At 46.3% G+C, this 22,844-nt stretch overlaps 1 long non-coding RNA gene across 1 annotated transcript in view; it reads right to left on the bottom strand.

Moving 5' to 3' along the window:
- The window catches only part of TRIB1AL (TRIB1 associated lncRNA), a 76,581-nt gene that overhangs the window by 48,259 nt on the left and 5,478 nt on the right, over window positions 1-22,844 (bottom strand). Inside the window, exon 2 of the long non-coding RNA NR_186610.1 lies at window positions 21,813-21,991. This is a non-coding gene — a long non-coding RNA (TRIB1 associated lncRNA). The remainder of the gene's footprint in view (window positions 1-21,812; window positions 21,992-22,844) is intronic.

Raw genomic sequence — 22,844 nt, 5'->3', positions numbered from 1 at the left:
GCCTTCTATCTGTCCACATTACCTGTTACCCAGGGAGGAACCTACTCCACACACAGCTCTACCCTGCTGATGGAGAACTGGCCGCCGGGCACAGACCCAGACCAGGAAGCCTTGAAGAGAGGGGAGGAAGACCAGAGCAGACCAGGGCAGAGTTGCATGACCTTTGGCAAGGTACTCTGAAGTGATTATAAATCCCTTGATAGCTACTCAGGAGGCAAGATGAGACTGGGAGGGACCTGGAGGGTCTACAGTAATCAGGGAGGAGCTGTGCAGTGGGAGGGAAAGGAAAAAGCCCAGAAAATCTTCAGGAGCATCTCCTAAAGTTTGAAGTTCCTGGGGATTTGTGACATACAGAGACCAAAGAAAGATCTATGAGGTTGCACGTGGAAGGAAAAAAAAAAAAATCCTGGGAGAGCTCTGTAGTGTCAAGAGCAAAGAAATGAAGGGTTTGGGCCAGGTGTGGTGGCTCATGCCTGTAAGCCTAGCACTTCGGGAGGCTGAGGTGGGCGGATCACCTGAGATCAGCCTGGCCAACATGGTGAAACCCAGTCTCTACTAAAAACAAAAAATTAGCCGGGCATAGTGGCAGGCACGTGTAATCCCAGCTACTTGGGAGGCTGAGGCAGGAGAGTCGCTTGAACCCAGGAGGCAGAGGCCGCAGTGAGCCAAGATTGCGCCACTGCACTCCTGCCTGGGTGACATGGCGAGACTCCATCTCAAAAAAAAAAAAAAAAAAGAGAGAGAGAGAGAAATGCAGGATTTGCGAGATTGGCTGTGAGGAACAAAAACATCATTTGACAGTTGGAGAAATGGAGGCAGTATCAAAGTGGCTGAGGAGACAGTCACAGAGGTGGCTGGCCAGAGGCCATGAGGTCTCTTGAGCTGGGACAGTCAAACTTTGCTTAACAACAGCCCATGGTCAGAAACACTTTTTTTTTTTTTTTTCTTCTTTGAGACGGAGTCTCACTCTGTCGCCTGAGCTGGAGTACAATGGTGCTATCTCAGTTCACTGCAAGCTCTGCCTCCCAGGTCCACACCATTCTTCTGCCTCAGCCTCCCGAGTAGCTGGGACTACAGGCGCCCACCACCGTGCCCGGCTAATTTTTTGTATTTTTAGTAGAGACGGGTTTCACCGTGTTAGCCAGGATGGTCTCGATCTCCTGACCTCGTGACCCACCCACCTGGGCCTCTCAAAGTACTGGGATTGCAGGCGTGAGCCACCGTGCCCGGACCAGAAACACTTCTTCTGCAGTGACCCAATATCCACACATAGAGGGTGACTTGTGTGCACACACACACGTGCATATCTACATATAAAAGAAACAAATGGAGGAGATGGATTGGAGTTGGGGTTTGGGGTGTCTGTGGCAACTTCATCTGGCCCTTAAGGGGCAGGACGACTCCCCTCAACATCAGGGTTACACATGCAAGAACACAAAGAACATGCTCAGAACACTCCCCTGGGCGCTGTGTCTGTGTCTTTGTTCCTGTGGGTCATGCAACTGTATCTGGGAGCCTAGGAGTCCTCCTGTCCATGTCTGTGTATCTGTCTCTGTTTGCCCCTGTAGACCATAGGAAAAGAAACACAAACTTCTAGTGTGAAGACGTTTTCACAGTTCTTTCTCCATATGTCTGGGACCCTCTGTGTCATGGGGCTAAGCGGAGCCTGGGCAGAATTCTGGCTTTGCTCTGGAATCAGAAAACCTTAGAACTGAAAAAGACCTTGGAAACTCCTTGGCCCAAACACCCCCTTTTAGAAATGGAGAAAATATGATGCATATTATGGAAGAGCAGAGAAGCTTTGAGGAAGGACAAAAATATCTAGAATTGTGTAGGAATGCTTTTACACCGTTGGTGGGAGTGTAAACTAGTTCAGCCATTGTGGAAGACAGTGTGGTGATTCCTCAAGGATCTAGAACTAGAAATACCATTTGACCCAGCGATCCCATTACTGGGTATATACCCAAAGGATTATAAATCATGCTACTATAAAGACACATGCACATGTATGTTTATTGAGGCACTATTCACAATAGCAAAGACTTGGAACCAACCCAAATGTCCATCAATGATAGACTGGATTAAGAAAATGTGGCACATATACACCATGGAATACTATGCAGCCATAAAAAAGGATGAGTTCATGTCCTTTGTAGGGACATGGATGAAGCTGGAAACCATCATTCTGAGCAAACTATCACAAGGACAGAAAACCAAACACCACATGTTCTCACTCATAGGTGGGAACTGAACAATGAGAACACTTGGACACAGGGTGGGGAACATTACACACCAGGGCATGTCGTGGGGTGGGGGGAGGGGGGAGGGATAGCATTAGGAGATATACCTAATGTAAATGATGAGTTAATGGGTGCAGCACACCAACATGGCACATGTATACATAAGTAACAAACCTGCACCTTGTGCACATGTACCCTAGAACTTAAAAGTATAATAATAAAAAAAAAATCTAGAATTGTGTCTTCCAACACAGCAGCCACTAGCCACCTATGGCTGCTGAGCACTTAAAATTGACTAGTCCAGATTGAGATGTACTATAAGTACAAAATATACCCCAGACTTCAAAGACTTTATATGAAAAAGTACGTAAAATTGTTCAATAATTTTTACATTGATTGCATATTGAAATGATAACAATTTTGATCTATTAGGTTAAAATATATTATTGAAATTAATTTTACTTTTTAATTATGACTACCAGAAAATGTCAAATTATGTATGCCGCTCTCATTTCTGGCCCACTTTATATTTCTATGGGACACACTGACCAAGAGTCTTGCGTCAGACATTTAACGTCTCTGAGTCTCGATTTCACCAGGTATAAAATGGGTGTCGTGATGCTTATCTCTTGGAGTTGTTGTGAGGATTAATTGAGAAACCATGTGAAAGAGCTTTTAAATCTTAAGAAGCTGTTCAGATAAAGAGGTGGATATGGTGGTGGTGATGATGGTGATGGTGATGGTGGTGGTGGTGGTGGTGGTGGTGACGGTGGTTGTAACTCAGATCTTCGCCAAGAGGGAAGGGGTGAAAGGATAAAGGATTTAATAGTTTGACCTTCAGGAAAATACCCATAGGGGTCAGCCATATGCATGTGATCACCCACCCACCATAATTTTGGTGCTGGAGAAACAATGACCACTCCCAAACTCAGAACCATTACCCAGACCAAGCCTTTCAAAACCCCGAGTCACCATGTTCTTGCTCAGCAACCATACCACACCATCCTCCGCCTCTGCAGGTCCCTAGCCACCCCTCCAGCCTCCTCTGACACAGGAGGCTGTCTCCTCTCAGGGTAGCATGAAGCCCTTCTCCCCAGGGCACCCTTCCTTAGGAGGACAACTCCACATCTGAGTGGGATTTCCCAACAATGCTTTTTCTCTGCTCTTTGCCAGAGGCCCAGGGTCCCAGAGGGCTCCAGAAAGAGGGAGATAGCCCCAAATCTGGCCTGAGGGGACCAGCCCCTTCCTGGGACCATCACCCAGGGCAATCCCTGTTGCAACGGTGGTCTCGTAACAATCGCTTACAAACCCGGTTAGGCAAGCTGCTTTTGCGTGATGGGGCTATCTTGAGTAAACAGCATCCTCTGTCCCCTGCCGGTCACTTGCTCAAGACATTGCTGGACATTGCATTACAGCCACTGACACACGGAGTTTTGAAAATGAAAACAGGCCCTCTGGCTTATGATCAGATAGCATTTAACTCATTTATGATTGCGCCATGTTTTCCCAAGACCCAAGGGCCACAGAACGGATATTGTCACAAATGCAAACAGAAGATGCTGAGGACAGTTGGAGCCTCGGGTCACCTACAAAATGAGGCTTCCAAAGACCAACAGGCAGGTGAGGTCTGCATCACCTTGGCCTCAGTTATCCACACATGGGCATCTGGGGCTATGTAGCTTCTTAGGCTAAGCTGGGACACAGGTTCAACCCCTAGGGGGTTGAGAGAGTTAGTGTTTTCCATTTCATCCATTTTACCCCTTATTCTGGCTACCTTTCCTGCTGATACAGATCAGGAATTGAAAGGGGTGGATAAGGTCTATTTCTGGTATCTATTACTATGTAACAAACCCAAACATACTCGCTTAAAATGACTATTTCTTATTTCTCACAATTCTGCTGGTTGGCCAGACAGTTTTTCTGCTGATTTTGGCTGGTCTCACTCACATGGCTGTACTTTGCTGGGTGGTCAGTGCAAGTGACTTTGGTCAGAAAGTGAAAGATGGCCTCACTCATGACTCCAGTGCTAGCTATTGGCTGGTCACCTTGGCTCTCCTCCACATGGTCTCTCATCCTCCAGTCTGCTAAATGCTTCGCTTACATAGTGGTCTCAGGAGAGCCTTCCAAAAAGTTGAAAGCCACAGAACCTGCTGGTCAGAGCAACTCACGAGACCAGCACAGGGTCAAGAAGAAGGAAACAGGCTCTGCCTCTTGATAGAAATTGCCAAAAAATACAGTTTTCAAGCTACCGCAAGGCAAAAAAGTATAAATGCCTCCATGGAAAACTTCCCAGCATAGAAAATAATCTGGTAAAGTTATATTTTCTGAATCAACAATCCACAGTCCCAGACTAACAAAGGTCTTCCCTCCGATTCATGAATGTGTGGACAAAGGTGAACCAACAGGCTCATACCAAGTTATATATTGAATGCCGTGTTTCTCAGCCCTGGCTGAACATTAAAGTTACTTGAGGAGCGTGTCCAAATCCCACGTCCCTGCTGAATAAGAATTTTGATTGGGATGGGGAAGTGGGAGGGGATTGGGCTGGTAATCTACATTTTCAAAGGTTCTCCCAGTGATTCTGATCCACAACCAAGATTAATAACTGCAGGATTAGCAAACAAACTTTATGGGAAATAAGGTCAGGCAGGATATCTAGAAATATGGGTCATGAGCCTATCTATCTTTTACACATAGGTTCCTGTTAAATCCAATCTTAAATCCAGATCATTGTTGGAGCTATCAGACTCTAACATTGGGGTCTGGACATGAACTAGACGCACACCCTCTCTCAAATTATAGCTGCTACTCACCATGGACCAAGCCTTGTTCTGTGGACTTTCTGTGCGTGAACCCATTCAATCCCCACAGCTCCATGAGGTGGATACTGTCCCCATTTTACATATAGGGAAACTGAAGCTTAGAAAGGTTACATGATTTTTCCTAAGTTACACAGCTAATAAGATGATAGGGTTGGAACTGAAACCCACCTGGCTTCAGAGTCCATGATCTTAGCCATTAAACATGTGCCTCACTCAGAGCACACTGTCCAGGGTAAGGAAGTCGACAACCCACATCAGACTATGAGCATTCTGAGGAGGAAAAGGAAGGGGCCAGGCGGAGGGCTGTCTGTTTTCTTGGCTCATTGGCTGTTCTCAAAGCAGTGGTTCGCCACTTTGCACATTAGAATCACCTGGGGAGCTTTTTCAAACTAGGGCTGAACCATCCGCAAAGATTGTATTAACTTGCTTTGGGTGGGGTTGAGTCATGGAAGGTTTTTAAAAGCTTCCTAGGAAATTCTAGTGCACAGCCAGAGTTGAGATCATAGGCTCCACGGTTGGGCAGGAATTTATCATTCTCAGCAGGGAGGAGGATGGTGGCCCCAGTGTTGGAAGCATCTGTGAACTCTATACCCCAAGAACTTCCTAGAAATCAAACAAGCTCAAGCCAAAAGGAACCTCCTGTATCACCTGGACCAGATATCCCCAATCCTGGTTATACACTGGCAACACCTGGGTAGCTTATAAAATGCCCCACCCCAGATATTCTGATTAAGTGGTTCTGGGATGGAGTGGGGGCATCAGCATCTCTTATATCCATCCTCTCAGGTTGATTTTTTTTTTTTTTTTCAGACAGGGTCTCACTGTGTTGCCCAAGCTAGAGTACAGTGGTGCATCATGGCTCACTGCAGGCTTGGCCTCCTGGGCTCAAGCCATCTTCCCACCTCAGCCTCCCAATTAGCTGGGGCTACAGGCGAGTACCACCATGCCTGGCTAATTTTTGTATTTTTTGCAGAGACAAGGTTTCGCCATGTTACCCAGGCTGATCTCAAACTCCTACACTCAAGTGATCCACCCACCTCAGCCTCCCAAAGTGCTGGGATTACAGGTGTGAGCCACCGCACCTGGCCCAGGTTGATTCTAACGTGTATCCAGTTTGGGAACTACTGATATAGTCCCAGACTCTCAGTTTACAGATGAAGAAAATGAGGCTCAGAGAGGAGCAGTGACTTGCCCAAAGTCACACATCATGCTTGCTCCAGAGGCAGGGCTAGAGCCCAAACTCCTGACCAGGGCTATTTCCATGCTGTAACCCCTATGGTTTGCAAAATTATTTCACATATATTACCTCGTTGGCCTATATCTTGCCAGACTGCATTGCTTCCTGCCACCATCCTCTCATTTCGCAGAAGATGAGATGGGGCTCAAAGAAGTGACCTGCCCAAAGCCACACAGTGGCAGGATCCAGAAAAGAACTCAGGTCTCCTGACTGCAGATCATGGGTATGGCCTCACCCAACAATGCCCATGGCCAGTCATCTGCCTGCCAAGTTCCAGCATGTGAGGTTTTCCTGAGCCTCAACACCAGCAGCTGAAGGTTTGGACACCTCCAGAGGCCAGGCTTCCTGAGCCTCAACACCAGCAGCTGAAGGTTTGGACACCTCCAGAGGCCAGGCTGTGCAGAAATCTCACAGCGGACAGTTGCCTGGTGCCCTGGAAGTTCTACTCACCGATAACCCCTTACCCACCGTTCTGAGCATACTGAGATTTCCTGTTTACAACAGGTTTGCATCTGTTATCTCCAATGGTGTGTTAATGACAATCCCCATTTTACCAAAGGGCAGACGGAAGCTCAGAGAGCTTTGAGGACATTGTCTCAGGACCAAAGCTAGCCTAGAACCAGAATCAGGTCTTTGGACTCTAAGGCCAGCCCCTGGGGCCTGGGGGGCCTGGGACCTGCCTGCTTTGTGAAAGTTTTCCCACCCTGCCTGAACAGATGGCCAGAAGAGCTTAAACCAGAGATTGGGGCAGGGTGGTGTGTATGTGTGTGCCCCAGTTTGACCAGCTCTGGTTTCTGGTTACCTGCTGCCAAAAAACAAATATTTCCCAAAGTGGTAGGTGCAGGAAACAGACCTCACTTCTTTAAAGCCCAAAGTAGGCAAGCCATTTCTACCTTCCTCCCTTTTTCTCACCTAACCATTTGAGGATAACAGTGATTAAATGCCTGCTTTCTGGCCAGGCACAGTGGCTCACGCCTGTAATCCCAAGTTTGGGAGGTCGAGGCAGAAGGATCATTTGAGGATAGGAGTTTGAGACCAGCCTGGGCAATACAGTGAGATCCCCATCTCTACAAAAATAAAAATAAAAAATAAGTCCGGGTGCCATGGCTCGTGCCTATAATCCTAGCACTTTGGGAGGCCGAGGTGGGCAGATCACTTGAGGTCAGGAGTTCAAGACCAGCCCAGCCAATACGATGCAACCCCGTCTCTACTAAAAATACAAAAAAAATTAGCTAGGTGTGGTGGCGCATGCCTGTAATCCCAGCTACTCAGGAGGCTGAGGCAGGAGAATCGCTTGAACCCGGGAGGCAGCAGTTGTAGTGAGCCAAAATCACACCACTGCACTCCAGCCTGGGCAACAGAGTGAGACTCTGTCTCAGAAATAAATAAATAATAAAAGCTACTTTCTCCTTGTCTACACCCCCTGATAGTCGCTAGACATAGGGAGCTGGGCCTTGAGGAAGGGCCCAGGATGACCTGTCATTTATTTTACTTACGAAGCACTGATACAACTCGCTGCTCCAAGTGCTCTGAAACATTCATTAACTCATTTCAATTTTCACAACAGCCCTATGGGAGAGGGGAGGGCACTGCTCCTCTCCCCACTCTAGAGATTAGGAAATAAAATACAGACAGGTTAAGTGACTTGCTCAATGTTACACAACTAGAAAGAGGCAAAGCCGGGATTTGAACCTAGGCAGTCTGGCTCCAGAATCCACGTTCTTGACCACTGTGGTTTACTGGGCAGCATTTGCCTGAGTGTCTGGTGCTACACCAGTCTCACCAGGGAGACTCCTAAACACACTGCAAAGTGACACCTCATGCTCGACTGGCTCTTAAATCCAGATGAAAGAGTGTAAAACACTAACCATTTTCTGGGGTTGTCACGGTGTGTGCAAGTCCACATGGACGCCCATTTCAGGACCTCGCCACCACCTTCCACCTTCCTTCTTGCATTCACTGCTGTGATTAGAGTCTGCACGCCACCTGCATCCACTCTGGCAGTTGGTATTGTAATCCCCCATTGTACAGGTGAAAACACTGGGGCTTGCGGAGGGCGTAAGTGACCACAAAGCTAATAAGTGGCAGAGCTTGGAAGTCAATCCCCTGCTTCTGCTCATTACATCATTTGCATCTTTCCAAGACCCCTCAGGAGGGATTCTGCAGGAATTGTGGCCGCTATTCTGGGAAACGGAAGGTGCGAGTCACGTGATCAGTGTGAGAGTCCAGGCCTCTTAACTTCTGAGCGGATTCTCTTCCGCCTCCTGCTTCCACCATTTGTCCATGTCCATTGCTACCATTCCAACACCTCGGTTCCTGGAATGGAGGGACACATTTGACTGCTGAAACCTGCTCAGTGTAGACTCTAGCATCTCCAAAAAGCCGGGTAAACTCTCAACCCAAAGGAGAGAAGCCAAGTCTTGCTCAGCAGCTATTTTAGGGCCTGAGAGCTCCCCCTGCCCCTCTCGGGATGTGGGGATGTCGGGATGTCGGGATGTCCGCAGAGCCAGTTTTACCCTCCCGTGGGTGCGTGGTGGGACCAGTCACCGAGGGAGGCAGCGCCCGGGTGCAGGTGGGCCGTGTTCTGATGGAGCTGGTGGATGGCAATGCCAGCCAGAGAACTCGGTAATGACGGGAGCCAGCATGGGCGAGCACTCACTAGATGCCAGGCGTCGCTGTATGTGCCTCAAGCCCCGCAACCACCTGGGCTGTGGGCTCTAAGGGGCCCTCAGAGCTTCGCTGCCCTCGGAAGTGATGGGATCTGAGGAACACCTATCACCTAGATTGACAGGGCACTGGGCCATGGCCTTAGGGTCTGCTGGGGTCCAACCATAGCCCTGAGATCCTGGGTCCTGCCCTCTGTACCCTTGCCCAATCTCCATTTTGCAATCCATCAGCCTGACCCAGTAAACATCTCTAGCCCGAAGAGAACCCATCTTCCTGACCCTTTTCTATGTGTTTCGAAAAAGAGCCCAGGGGTGTGGGGGAGGGAGGGGGCCTCAGGCATCTGATGGGAGGCTGGGAGAAAGCCACTGAGCTCTGGTAGGCTGCCTGAGTGCCAGCCACTTTACCCAAGCTTCCTTACCAGTACCAAAGGAAGGAAACAGAATCCCTGGAGGGGAAACTAGAAAGCGGTCTTGTCCATGGCTTATCTGTTGGGGGATAGAAGGGCGCAGGAGGGAAGGGAAACTATAGGTCAAAGTTCAGAGAAATATTTTCCAACTGCCTCAGGCTGGCTGTGCAAAATTAGACAGCTCACTAAACATCTCTGAGGGAGTTTTCTCTTTTGTAAAATGGTAGAACATCCTGGCCCCCTCCCTGTTTCATAGGGTTAATGCCACTCTCATGTTATTTCAACAAGAGCTCCATGAAGTATAGAGGGCATATTATATCTTCTTCACTGTCCGGTTGAGGAAACTAAGGCACAGAGAGGTTTATTCCTTCCACCAAATATTTTAGAAGGATCCACCAGGTACACAGGGTTTGGGAACGCTTTGTGTGAGCCCAGAAAAAAAAAAAAAGAAAAGAAAAATGAATAACTTGCTGGAGGCACCAGGTAGAGAAGCCAGTGGGAGGAGACCCAGCCTCTAAAGCGACTGCCTTCCAGCAGTGGCGGGTCCCAGGGCCTGCCGGCACTGATACAGCTCCTGCTGCTCTGAGCGCTCTGAAACATTCAGGAACTCATTTCAGTTTTCACAATAGCCCCATGAGAAGGGCACTTCTACCCTCCCCACTTTAGAGATAAGGAAATTAAATACAGAGAGACGGGCAGATTGCCTGAGCTCAGGAGTTCGAGACCAGCCTGGGCAACATGGCAAAACCCCATCTCTACAAAAAAATACAAAATTTAGCCCGGCATGGTGGCACAGGCTTGTGGTCCCAGCTACTTCGGGTACTCAGGTGAGAGGATCACTCGAACCTAGCAGGTCGAGGCTGCAGTGAGCCAAGATAGTGCCACTGCACTCCACGAGTGACACAGCGAGACCCTGTCTCTAAAAATATAAAATAAAATACAGAAGGGCCCGCTAACACTTTCCCCATCCATCCATCCGTGTACCTGCACCGCTGTGGCACACTCACTGGTTCAAACATCTGTTTTCCTCTTCTGAGTTCCAAGCTCTTTAAAGGAAGACCCATGACTCACGATGATTCTCATGCCTGGGGCCTGATAGCTAATATCTGGTCCTTTGTGAGTGTTTCATAAATGCTTGTTGCATGAATGAATAAATGAATGAATGAATTGCAACAAGGGGAAGTGCGGGAAGGGCATTCTAGTAAAGGAAACTGAGTCAACGTAAGTGTGGAGATGGGAAAGCCACAGCCCGCCTGAGCAGGGCTCTCCCCTCCCCCATCCCTGGGACACCATGTGCTGCTGCCTTAAAAAGGCAGGCGAGAGGATATGGAGAAACAGGAACACTTTTACGCTGTTGGTGGGACTGTAAACTAGTTCAACCATTGTGGAAGTCAGTGGGCGATTCCTCAGGGGTCTAGAACTAGAAATACCATTTGACCTAGTCATCCCATTACTGTGTATATACCCAAAGGACTATAAATCATGCTGCTATAAAGACACATGCACACGTATGTTTACTGCGGCACTATTCACAATAGCAAAGACTTGGAACCAACCCAAATGTCCAACAATGATAGACTGGATTAAGAAAATGTGGCACATATACACCATGGAATACTATGCAGCCATAAAAAAGGATGAGTTCATGTCCTTTGTAGGGACATGGATGAAATTGGAAATCATCATTCTCAGTAAACTATCGCAAGGACAAAAAACCAAACACCGCATGTTCTCACTCATAGGTGGGAATTGAACAATGAGAACACATGGACACAGGAAGGGGAACATCACACATTGGGGACTGTTGTGGGGTGGGGGAGGGGGGAGGGATAGCATTGGGAGATATACCTAATGCTAAATGACGAGTTAATGGGTGCAGCACACCAGCATGGCACATGTATACATATGTAACTAACCTGCACATTGTGCACATGTACCCTAAAACTTAAAAGTATAATAATAATAATAATAAAATAAAAAAGGCAGGTGACCCCACCTAAGAAAAGGCAGGGAGCTGGTGCAGGACCTGTGCAGGGGAGAGGAAGTGGCACTGCTCGGCTCGTCACCCTCCCCTTTCCCATGCCAACCCCCTTCTTGGGATGAGAAGATGAAAGATATGTCTAGAATTTCTTGATATTGGCCTAAGATCTTCTATGAGCCTGGTATTAGGGGCTTTTCGTGTCTATTTCATTACCTCTCTTCCTAACACTTCATTGAGGTTGGTGGGACATTTTAAAATCATCATCATTATTATTACAAAAGTAATACACGTGTGTTATTTTTTAAAATTCTTTTATTTATTTATTTTTTTTTGAGACAGAGTCTTGCTCTGTCACCCAGGCTGGAGTGCAGTGGGACTATTTTGGCTCACTGCAACCTCTGCCTCCGGATTCAAGCCATTCTCCTGCCTCAGCCTCCCAAGTAGCTGGGATTACAGGCATCACACCAGGCTAATTTTTGTATTTTTTTAATAGAAACAGGGTTTCGCCACGTTGGCCAGGTTGGTCTTGAACTCCTGAACTCAGGTAAATCTGCCGGCCTCATCCTCCCAAAGTGCTGGGATTACAGGCGTGAGCCACTGCGCCTAGCTGCTTAAAATTCTAATAAAGGCCAGGCTCGGTGGCTCAAACCAGTAATCCCAGCATTTGGGGAGGCCAAGACGGAAGGATTGCTTGAGCCCAGAAGTTTGCAACCAGCCTGGGCAACATAGTGAGACCCTGCCTCTACAAAATAATAATAATAATAATAATTAATTCTAATAGTGGAATAGAGGGAAAGCACCATGCCAAAGCCAACACAACCTCAGCCTGGTGACGAAGGCAGCAGGAAGAAATGTGGGTCCCAGAGGGGCCTGCTTCTCTTCAACCTGCCTCCCTGATGTGGGTCCCCATCTCCCCAGCACCAGCCCCCATCCTCCCAGCCCAAGGAAGTCCAGAGTGGAGCAGAATGGGCCATACATTCTTCACAGATGTCACATCCCTCCCACAGCAGCATCTCACAACTGATGGTATGTTATACTTGACCAAATAGGGTAGCCCACTGCAGTGGCAATTTGCCTAAACAAGGACCAAGGTTCCTGAGTTCTAGCCCCACAGCTCTGCCAAAACCTTACTGAGTGACCTCAGGCCAGCCTCCAAATCTTTCAAGCTCTACGGCATCCTTACCAGCAGAATGCTCATTCTAATACGTCTTCCCAAACTAACTTCAGATGAAGTTAATGTGATTTTAATTGTGGGCTACAACCAAGCTGTAAGCAGTTATTAATTTTAGAAAGTAATCCCAGGATCACACCATTGCACTCCAGCCTGGGCAACAAAAGCAAAACTCCATCTCAAAAAAGAAAGTAATCCCAGGACAATATTGAGCAAATAGCCTGCAGTGCATCCTGTGAAATAGTCATGGAGGAGGGCATTTCTGTATTCCAGGACTTCTTGGGATTTCTGAATGAGTTTATAGGATTTTTTTTGGTAGTTTTATTTATTCTATCAGCCATTTAAACAAATGTTTATTGCTGCATTTTTTTCTAGTGTATCACTGTTTTACTGCCCTTGTAGTACTGAAATTTAGTTGGAAGAATAAAACATTTATTTCTTAAAAAAAAAACCCGAAGTTTGATTCTGAATTTGTTATGTTTGAGGACTCTCTAAGATGTCCAAGTGAAGCTGTCAAGACAGATTGCTAGAGTTTGAATGCCTGCCAAGGCAAATTAACTCTCTGTGCCTTGATTTACTTAACTAAAACACAGGTGTACATACCATTAGTACCTACTACATAGGGTTAAGAATGAATTCACTTGGCCGGGTGTGGTAGCTCATGCCTGTAATCCCAGCACTTTGGGGGTCCGAGGTGGGTGGATCACTTGAGGTCAGGAGTTTGAGACCAGCCTGGACAACATGGTGAAACCCCGTCTCTACTAAAAACACAAAAATTAGCCAGGCGTGGTGGCGCATGCCTGTAATCCCAGCTACTCGGGAGGCTGAGGCAGGAGAATCACTTGAACCCCGGGAGGCAGAGGTTGCAGTGAGCCGAGATCATGCCACTGCACTCCAGCCTGGGCAACAAGAGCCAGATACCATCTCAAAAATAAATAAATAAATAAATAATTGATTGACTTAATACAATGATTCTCAGCATTGACTGCACATTTGAATCACCTGGGGAGCTTTTAAATCCAATGTTCAAGCTTTGACCCCACAAATTTTGACTTCACCTATATCAAGTGGAGCCTGGACATTCACATTTTTTACCTATATGATTCAAATATGCAACCAGGGCTGAGAACCACTGAACCAATTCTGTAAAGCACACGGCACAGTAAGCCCACACAGTAAACACACAATGAAGGTTAGCTGTTGATCTGGGCATCATACTAGGTCAGCTGGAACCCTGGCTGTCAAAGAAAAATGTTAGACTCCCCAGGTTATAGATGAGAAAACCAGGGCTCAGAGAAAACCAGGGCTCAGAGAGGCTGGCTGACTCGCCTGCAATCACACTGCAAAGAAGCGCCAGGTTCTGGCTCCAGAGCCATTGCATGGTAGTGCTTCTCCGATCTGCAGAACACGCGGCCTGCTCTCAGCAATCTGCAGAGCCTGGCAGCTCTGACATGGCCAGACAACGTTTTCCACTGGATCTACACACATCAGCAAATCATGAAATCATTTTGGTCATTTATGAGTAGCCATTTCTTACATGAAAGAGAAGAGAAAGAAAATATCAGGCTGCATCATGGATCACAGCAATCACTTTACCAAAGGAGAAAACTCAGGCCCAGAGAAAAAAAGAGACACTTCCAGGTCACATGACAAATTAGAATCTGAGTCAGGATTGCTTGTTCATCCTTTCAACAACCATTTATTGGCTGGGCGTGGTGGCTCACATCTGTAATTGCAGAAGTTTGGGAGGCTGAGGTGACGAATTGCCTGAGCTCAGGAGTTTGAGACCAGCTTGGCCAACATGGTAAACCCCATCTCTACTAAAAATACAAAAATCAGCCAGGTGTGGTGGTGCATGCCTGTAGTCCCAGCTACTTGGGAAGCTGAGGCAGGAGAATCACTGGAACCTGAGAGGCATGGTTGCAGTGAGTTGAGATAGTGCCTCTGCATTCTAGCCTGGGCAGCATAGCAAGACTCTGTCTAAAAAAAAAAAAAAAAAAACTTTGATTGCACACCTGCTATTGTGCCAGGCGTCATACCAGGCATCCGGGAATCTTTGGTTTACATAATCCGATATTCATCAATAAAAATTAACACAAAATAACTAAGTTTGCCTTAAAAATATATAAAGTATAAAACATTGTAAACATTTATGAAATAATACTTTTGTCCTCTCCATAGACCAGTCCACCAATCTTTCCAGGCAGGACTTGGAATCAGGAGTGACATGATCTGATTTGTCTTTAAAGATTGCTTTGCCTGCTGTGTGGCTTCTAGGGGGTGAGGATGGGAGTTGGGATCCCCATTAGAAGGCACCGTAGCAGTCTAGATGGAAGTTAAAGACATCTGGGGCTAGGCTGGCACTGTAAAATCCCATCTGCAGCTTTGTGAGTGGCACTGAGCTTTAGTTTTATATATATATATACACACACACACATATACATAAAGAGAGACAGAGACAGAGACAGAGAGAGGTGGGGGGCTATATTCTGAAAGTGAAATCGATAGAATTTGCTCGTGGTTCAAATGATGGATGTGAGAGAGGTAAGTCCAGGACAGCTCTTTGGTTTGGGGCTTGAGCCCCTGGGTGCCGTTAACTGAAAAAGGGAACACAGAGAAGGAAGCAGGTTAGTAGAGGAAGACCCAAAGTTCCGATTATGTTATGCTTGAGGAGTGTCTAAGATGTCCAAGTGAAGCTATCAAGACAAAAGTGTTGGGAGTCATCCCGTGTATAGATGATATTTAAAACCAAGAAACAGGATTGGATCATCGGAGGACATTATGCAAACACAGAAGAAAAGGGCTCAGGAGTGAGCCCTGGGGCACTTCCACATGAAGGCAGAAAGGGGAGGAGGATCCAGCAAAGGTGATGGAGAAAAAACACATCAGTAACAAGGTAAGAGAAAAAGAGAATTGTGTCCTAGAAGCCACGGGAGAAAAACATCCCCAGACAACAGACAAACCAAGTGCTACCAAGACCCTGACCTGTGCCTCTTTTTTCTGAACAACATTGCTTCTGAGTCCACTTGAAAATGCTACTGAGTCCCTTCGATTCTAAGATATGTGATTTGTTTCTGAACTCTAACATTGCTGAAATCAGGGTACCACGTACAATCAATATTTGTCCCCACCACACACACCAACCTTGCCAAAAATAAATAACAGCTGTTAATAAATCAATACGGCATCTTACAGTCGATCAGTGGGGAGATATGCTGTCGTGATGATGAGGAGAGATCAGGCAACAAAAGAGAGACAAGAAGGAAGGTAGCATTTATTTAGCATCTCCTGGAGACTGAGAATCATCATGCTTAAAGCTTCACGTTTTGCCTCATCTAACAGCTGGAGAGAGGAAGAAACTTACAAAGGAAGGAGAAACACTTTCCAGTCTAGCATGATAAAGGAGCTTGTAGTGTCTTATCCTCAAAAAGCAATAGGCTCTCCAGCTCTAAAAGGAGAAAGCCAAGTTCATTTTGGTTTGTGCATCCCTCATCCTCATCCCCCTGAAACACCACCAAAGAAATGACAATTTCAGCCAACACAGTGCTTTCTCAAAACTTGTAAAAAATTTTTTAACAGGTGTAAACACAGCAAGTGTTTTCTGAAGTCAAAGATGCTTCCAAAAAGCCAGGGAACAAACTAAAAAGCAGTTAGCAGATACAGCACTTGGTTTCGTGAGAGCGGGCTTGGAGGCGCTTCCCAAAGTTTGGCCTCGTTTCTGCTTAACTGACTAGGCATGATGACTTGCTTTTGAGCCGAGTTTACTCAAATCTCAAATCCACCATCTTTGAATGGAAGACGCAACGAGCTTTGTGTCATGAGGGGAGAGATACAAAAAATAAACCAGATTTGTTCTGCTAATTTGTAGTTGCTGATCCACTGTAAAATACCATCAGCAGCTTTGTAAATGGCACGGATATTTGGTTTTCTTCTTTTTTTTTTTAAGTCCCAACATGAGATAGTATGTTGATAGATGAAAGTTAGGTAGATAGGTAGGTGCATGATAGATAGATTGCTCAATTGATCAAAAGAAAGAAAATAGAAATATAGATGACAGCAGGGTGCAGTGGCTCATGTCTGTAATCCCAGCACTTTTGGAGGCCAAGGCAGGCCTGAGGTCAGGAGTTCAAGACCAGCCTGGCCAACTTGGTGAAACCCCATCTCTACTAAAAAAATACAAAAATTAGCTGGGTGTGGTGGTGGGTGCCTGTAATCCCAGCTACTTGGGAGGCCGAGGCAGGAGAATCACTTGAACCTGGGAGGTGAAGGTTGCAGTGAGCTGAGATTGCACCACAGCACTCCGGCCTAGGCAACAGAGCAAGACTCCGTCTCAAAAAAAAAAAATATATATATATATATATATATGTATATATATGTAGATAGATATAGATGTAGAATCTATCTATATCTATATAGATATAGAATCTATCTATATCTATATAGATATAGAATCTATCTATATCTATATAGATATAGAATCTATCTATATCTATATAGATATAGAATCTATCTATATCTATATAGATATAGAATCTATCTATATCTATATAGATATAGAATCTATCTATATCTATATAGATATAGAATCTATCTATATCTATATAGATATAGAATCTATCTATATACATAGATATACATATATATCTATGTAGATAGATAGATAGATGATAGATGAAAATAGGCCAGGCACAGTGGCTCATTCCTGTAATTCCAGCATTTTGGGAGGCTAAGGCGGGCAGCTCATGAGGTCAGGAGTTTGAGACCAGCCTGGCCAACATGGCAAAACCCTGTCTCTACTAAAAATACAAAAAAAAAAAAAAAATTAGCCGGGTGTGGTGGCAGGTGCCTGTAATCCCAGCTACTCGGGAGTCTGAGACAGGAGAATCACTTGAACCCAGGAGACGGAGGTTGCAGTGAGCCAAGATCATGCCACTCCAGCCTGAGCAACAAGAGCCAGACTCCATCTCAAAGAAAATAGATTATTGATAGATAGATAGATAGATAGATAGATAGATAGATAGATAGATAGACAGACTCTAATCCTGATAGGACTTTATAGGTGTGTTCAATTCCAACCATAGGGAACAGGAAATAGAACCCAAACCTTTATTTCCTGCAGAGCCAGAAGAGAAGGTAAAGCCAGACTCTCCCTCTCTGGATCAAATATAGTACCTGACAAAGACACATCCTCAGCAGTTTTCTTTTCTCTATTTCCAGGGGGCGGCATTTTCCTCCTTGCCTGGGAGGTGCACCTTTTGATCATTATCAAGCCATCTGTCAGCACCACTCTACCTGGCCCTGGCTTTCTCCTCCCAGAGGCCCCATCTCTCCCTCTGTAGCCACACCAAGATCATCCTAGAGATGCAGACTGTCACTTGGAGCAGCTGGGAGGGACCAGCCACTTCAGGAACTGGCCAGGGCACCTCAGCTTTCCCAGACAGAGCAGCAATGAGCACACCAAGGGCTGGGCCCCACAGGGCCTTCCCACTGGGACTCCTGGGGAGTTCTATCTCCCATCTCCTGGTGAAGCAATCCACATAATTAGCCACATTAATATCCAGGCCGTCTGAGGCTGCCTATCTCAACCCCAGCCTGTCGCAACGAGCACCTAAATGACTATTCAGCTCCCTTCCAACCAGCTGAGCAGAGAAAAATGGGGTCTCCCTCCGGGACAGCTGCCTAGCACCCTACTCCCCTGGGCTGGGCTCTGTCTCCAGGACAGGTTTTTCCAGAAACCCGACCCCTACGGCCACAAGGACATCATTTTGACATGGCAGCCCCAGGGACTGTAGACCTTGCTTTGGGTTCTGAACATTTTTTGGAAGGCTGTTTTGTTAACCAACATCTTTTCAGCCCTTTTTTCAATAGGCAAGGCCCCACAAAGGGTTACTGAAATATGCTAAAGAAGACTCTCTGACCTTCAATTTCCTATGATTTCATTGTAGAAAAAAGACACATACATCTGAAGAGATACATGGGGTGGGTGGGGAGCAGGGCTAATGTCGCTGACTGAGTGCCCTGTTCCACACCCTTTAGTAAGCATTATCTCATCTATTTCACACAAGTATCACTAGCCCCATTTTAAAGGCTCGGATTGGTCAAGCAGAACCAGGACAAGAATGCTCTAATAATAACAATCTGTGTGGCCTGGGAGATTTGTTTTACCTCTTTGAGCCTCTGATCCTGGTGAAATCTAGAGCTCTCTAGGTCCCTGTCTTAGTTACTCTGCCAGATTCAATCCAGGTTGGTCTGTCCGCTGAGCCCAGATGTAACCCAGGCTCTGCTGGCCCTGCAAGAGTAGTGCAGGACTATTCGCAATAGCAAAGACACGGAACCAACTGGTGCCCATCAACGGTGGATTGAATAAAGAAAATATGGTATAGAAACACCAGGAAATACTACACAGCCATAAAAAGGAACAAAATCATATCCTGTGCAGCAACATAGATGCAGCTGGAGGCCATTATCCTAAGCAAATTAATACAGGAACAGAAAACAAAATATCAAATGTTTTCACTTATAAAGTAGAAGTCAAATATTGGGTACCCATGGACATAAAGATGGCAACAATAGAGACCAGGGATTACTAGTAGGGGGAGGATGGAAGGAGGGCAAGGGTTGCAAAACTACCTATTGGGTACTATGCTCACTAGGTGAGTGATGGGATCATTCATACCCCAAACTTCAGCATCACACAATATATCCAAGTAACAAACCTGCGCATGTACCTCCTGAATCCAAAATTAGAGTTGAAATTTTTTTTAATCACATAAGTGAAAAACAAAACAAAAAAGAGTGATGCTGGAAATCGTGTCCACAGCCAGTTCTGCACTGGTTGGGAGGGACAGGGCTGTCACAGACAGTGAGGGAACCTGATGGGCAAACAGGGATCGGAGGAGGACTGCAGGGAAGGGGCTGCATTTTACAGCCCTAGGCAACAGCAAAGGCTCAGAGTGGAGGAACCGGCAGGGCAGATTCAGGGGTGAGCGAGGAAATGGAAGCGACTCTCAGACCTGTGGCTGTGCCTCTCCAAGTTCCTAGAACCTTCCTTTTCAGAATTTTCCATTTCCTAAGAGTTGAGGCTGCATTGCTCAACCATTGCGCTCTGTTTCTCATGGGTGTTCCAAGCCCGTTCCCAGAGATGATATCAGACACAGGTCGTGGATTGCCACATGGATTCAAGTCAGTAAGCGTTGCCAGTCAGTAACGGTGTGCAGGGTACCCTCTCCTTAGTTGCCTCTCCTGGCTGCACCCAGCTCCCCCTGGCCTTTTCCCCCTCCAAGGCCATTCCAAATGCTGACCTCTGGCCTTACTCCACCCTGCAAAGCACCACGGCATCATGACTCTGTTCAAATCCAGACATTACTACTTAAGAATTCTGTGCCCTTGTGCATGCTATTAGCCTCAGTTTCCCAATCTGTAAAATGGGGGGAACCCTAATACCTATTACAAAGGTTTGCTGTGAGAATTAAATAAATGTAATACCTGTGTGGTTTCTAGGATTGCACCTAGGACAAGTCAATACTCCATAAACTCATGTTGGCAATGACTAATCAGTATGTATGTAGGCTTCCTTGATTTCTTCCTCTGGGAATCACTGTGTCTCTGTATTAGCATAATGCCTATACCAGAAGGTGCCAAGGAAAGTTGTGCCAAGTAATTGACGTGACTTGAATTGGAAAGACGGAAGACAGCACTGCCCAGAGGTTAATGCATGGGCTTTAGTGTCCTGTGGCCTGTGTTTGAATTCCAGGCCTGCTACTTACTAAGGGTAACCTTGGTAATTACTTAATCTCAGTTTCCTCATCCATAAAATGGAGATTAACATAGTTCCCACCTATAAGGATTTCTGTGCACATAAACACAATGATACCACGAAGAGTTCAGCCCAGCTCAGGGGCTGGAGCGTAGTGAGCTAGTATTGCTCTTGTTAGTACATGAAGTTGTTCTCTGAGAGTTCACCATCTCTTTAGAGAGCCAAGTCTCAGACACCAGCTGTAGAGAACCAAATAAAGACAGGGGTTTGGCCGGGCGCAGTGGTGCATGCCTGTAATTCCAGCACTTTGGGAGGCTGAGGCAGGTGGATCACCTGAGGTCAAGATCAGTCTGGCCAACATGGTGAAACCCCATCTCTACTGAAAATACAAAAATTAGCCAGGCATGGTGGCAGGTGCCTGTAATCCCAGCTACTCAGGAGGCTGAGGCAGGAGAATCGCTTGAACCTGGGAGGCAGAGGTTGCAGTGAGCGGAGATTGTGCCACTGCACTCCAGCCTGGGCATCAGAGCGAGACTGTCACACACACAAAAAAAAAAAAATAGAAAAAGAAAAAGATAGGGGTTCACTCTTGGTACCTTCTTTCTCCTCTCTTTCTCCCACCTCAAAATTTAGAAGTCCCCTTCCCTTAGTCCATCAAGTAGCTGTGCAGGAGATAGCCTAGGTATGAAGAGGACGAAAGTCCTTGTTCTGCCTAATACCATCTGTGTGGTACTGGGCAGGTCACTGCACATCTTCAAACCACAGTTGCTAGTGAAACACAACGCCAATTAAGTTATTCACATAATTGGTCTACCTAACCCTTCCTTTTCGTTTGCTGAGGGGAGAGAAAAAAAAAAACATAGGTAGAGATGTGCCTAAGCTTTGGTTCCTGCACCTTTATTGAACATCTCTGTGTCTCAGCACTGGGCTAGGTGCTGGAGATACAGTGCTGCATGGCATCTTTGGCAAGAGGCAGAGGCTTCAACAGAGAATTACTTAAAGAGTGCTAACTGGCTAACATGCATTGAGTGCTTACTCTGAGCAAGGCCCCATGCAAAGGGCTCTGCGAGGATGGTCTCTTTCCACTTTGCTGCACTGCTGCGTTATAAGTACGATTATTATCATAGCCATTTTACTGATGGAGGAATTTAAGCAGGTTATATAATAGAGTTACACTGTTAATCAACTGCTCTGAGGGAGGGAAGTGCAGATTGGAGAGCGTGGAAATGAGTGGGAGCAGAGGATTCATCAGGAGAGAAGACTTCCTGGAGGAGGTGATGTCTGCATCTTGAAGCATGAGGATGAGTCAGCAAAGGGGTGACAGAGGGAGTGTTTAAGAAGAGGGGACAGCAAGGGCAACAGCCAAGAGAAAAAGAGACCGTAGCCTATAAAAGGGGGATGTGACACAAATGAAACAGATGATGGTGGGTCAGGTGACTAAGGACTTGATGGCTAGCTACTGAGGGTTGGATGTTTTACCTGGAAGGCAATGAGGGCCTCTTGAAAGGTTGTAAACAAAAGATCAGATTTACCATTCTGGAAGCTCTGTTGACCGCCATCACAAACATCCAGGCTTCTTCAGGATCCCATCTCCAAATGGGAGTCTGCCCCAAGCTGTGAGTACCTCTCAGTCAGTGCCAGGCCCATTGCTTTCAATTCCATGCTGTGTACTGGCAGAGCTACTTCATCTCTCTGACCAAAATTTCTTCATCTGCAATGTAAAAATAACAGTCCTGGCTAGGAGTGGTGGCTCATGCCTGTAATCCCAACATTTTGGGAGGCCAAGGTCGGTAAATCACTTGAACCCAGGAGTTTGAGACCAGTCTGGGCAACAGAGCGAAACCCCGTCTTCACAAAAAAATACAAAAATTAGCCGGGCTTGGTAGTGTGTGCCTGTAGTCTTAGTGACTCAGGAGGCTCAGGTGGGAGGATCACCTGAGCCGGTGGAGGTAGAGGCTGCAGTGAGCCATGATAGTGCCACGGCACTCCAGCCTGGGTGACGGAGTGAGATCCTGTCTAAAAAAATAAATAAATAAATGTAATAAAATAAAGATAACCATTCTGCAGTAGGACTCTCTTGATAGTCAACATGGGATAACACATGCAAACGCCCAACCCCGCACCTTCTACATGGACGTGCTCAGCAGAAGTGGTTCCTTCCTTCCCTCCTCCTTTTCCTAAGCTGCATTTTCCTTGTTTTTATGCTGAAAATAAACACTTTATGTGCATGTTATCTGACTGATCCATGACTGATTGATGGGACCTTTGGTATTTTCCACAAATCAGCAGTTTTGACTATTCATAAGCAACCCTGAAGGCCCCTGACACACAGCCATTTTGAATTTAGCTGAAGCTCGGATTAGAATTGCAGGAGCAATACGGCCTGTGTGAGAGGCAAGATGTTTACCAGTTGAGTCTGACCACATTAGTGAGGTTAAGACTCAGCTGCTCTGACGAAGAGGTCCTAAAATGCAATAGCTTAAACAATATTGAGGTTTCGCTGATAAAACAGTCCCAAGATGAGCTGTCCAAGTTAGCAGTAAGGCTCTGCCCCACCTCCAAAT

This window comes from Homo sapiens, chromosome 8, assembly GCF_000001405.40.
Source record: "Homo sapiens chromosome 8, GRCh38.p14 Primary Assembly".
Lineage (NCBI taxonomy): Eukaryota > Metazoa > Chordata > Mammalia > Primates > Hominidae > Homo > Homo sapiens.
The sequence above is the reverse complement of the archived record's forward strand: the minus strand, read 5'-3'. Positions and strand labels throughout refer to the sequence as shown.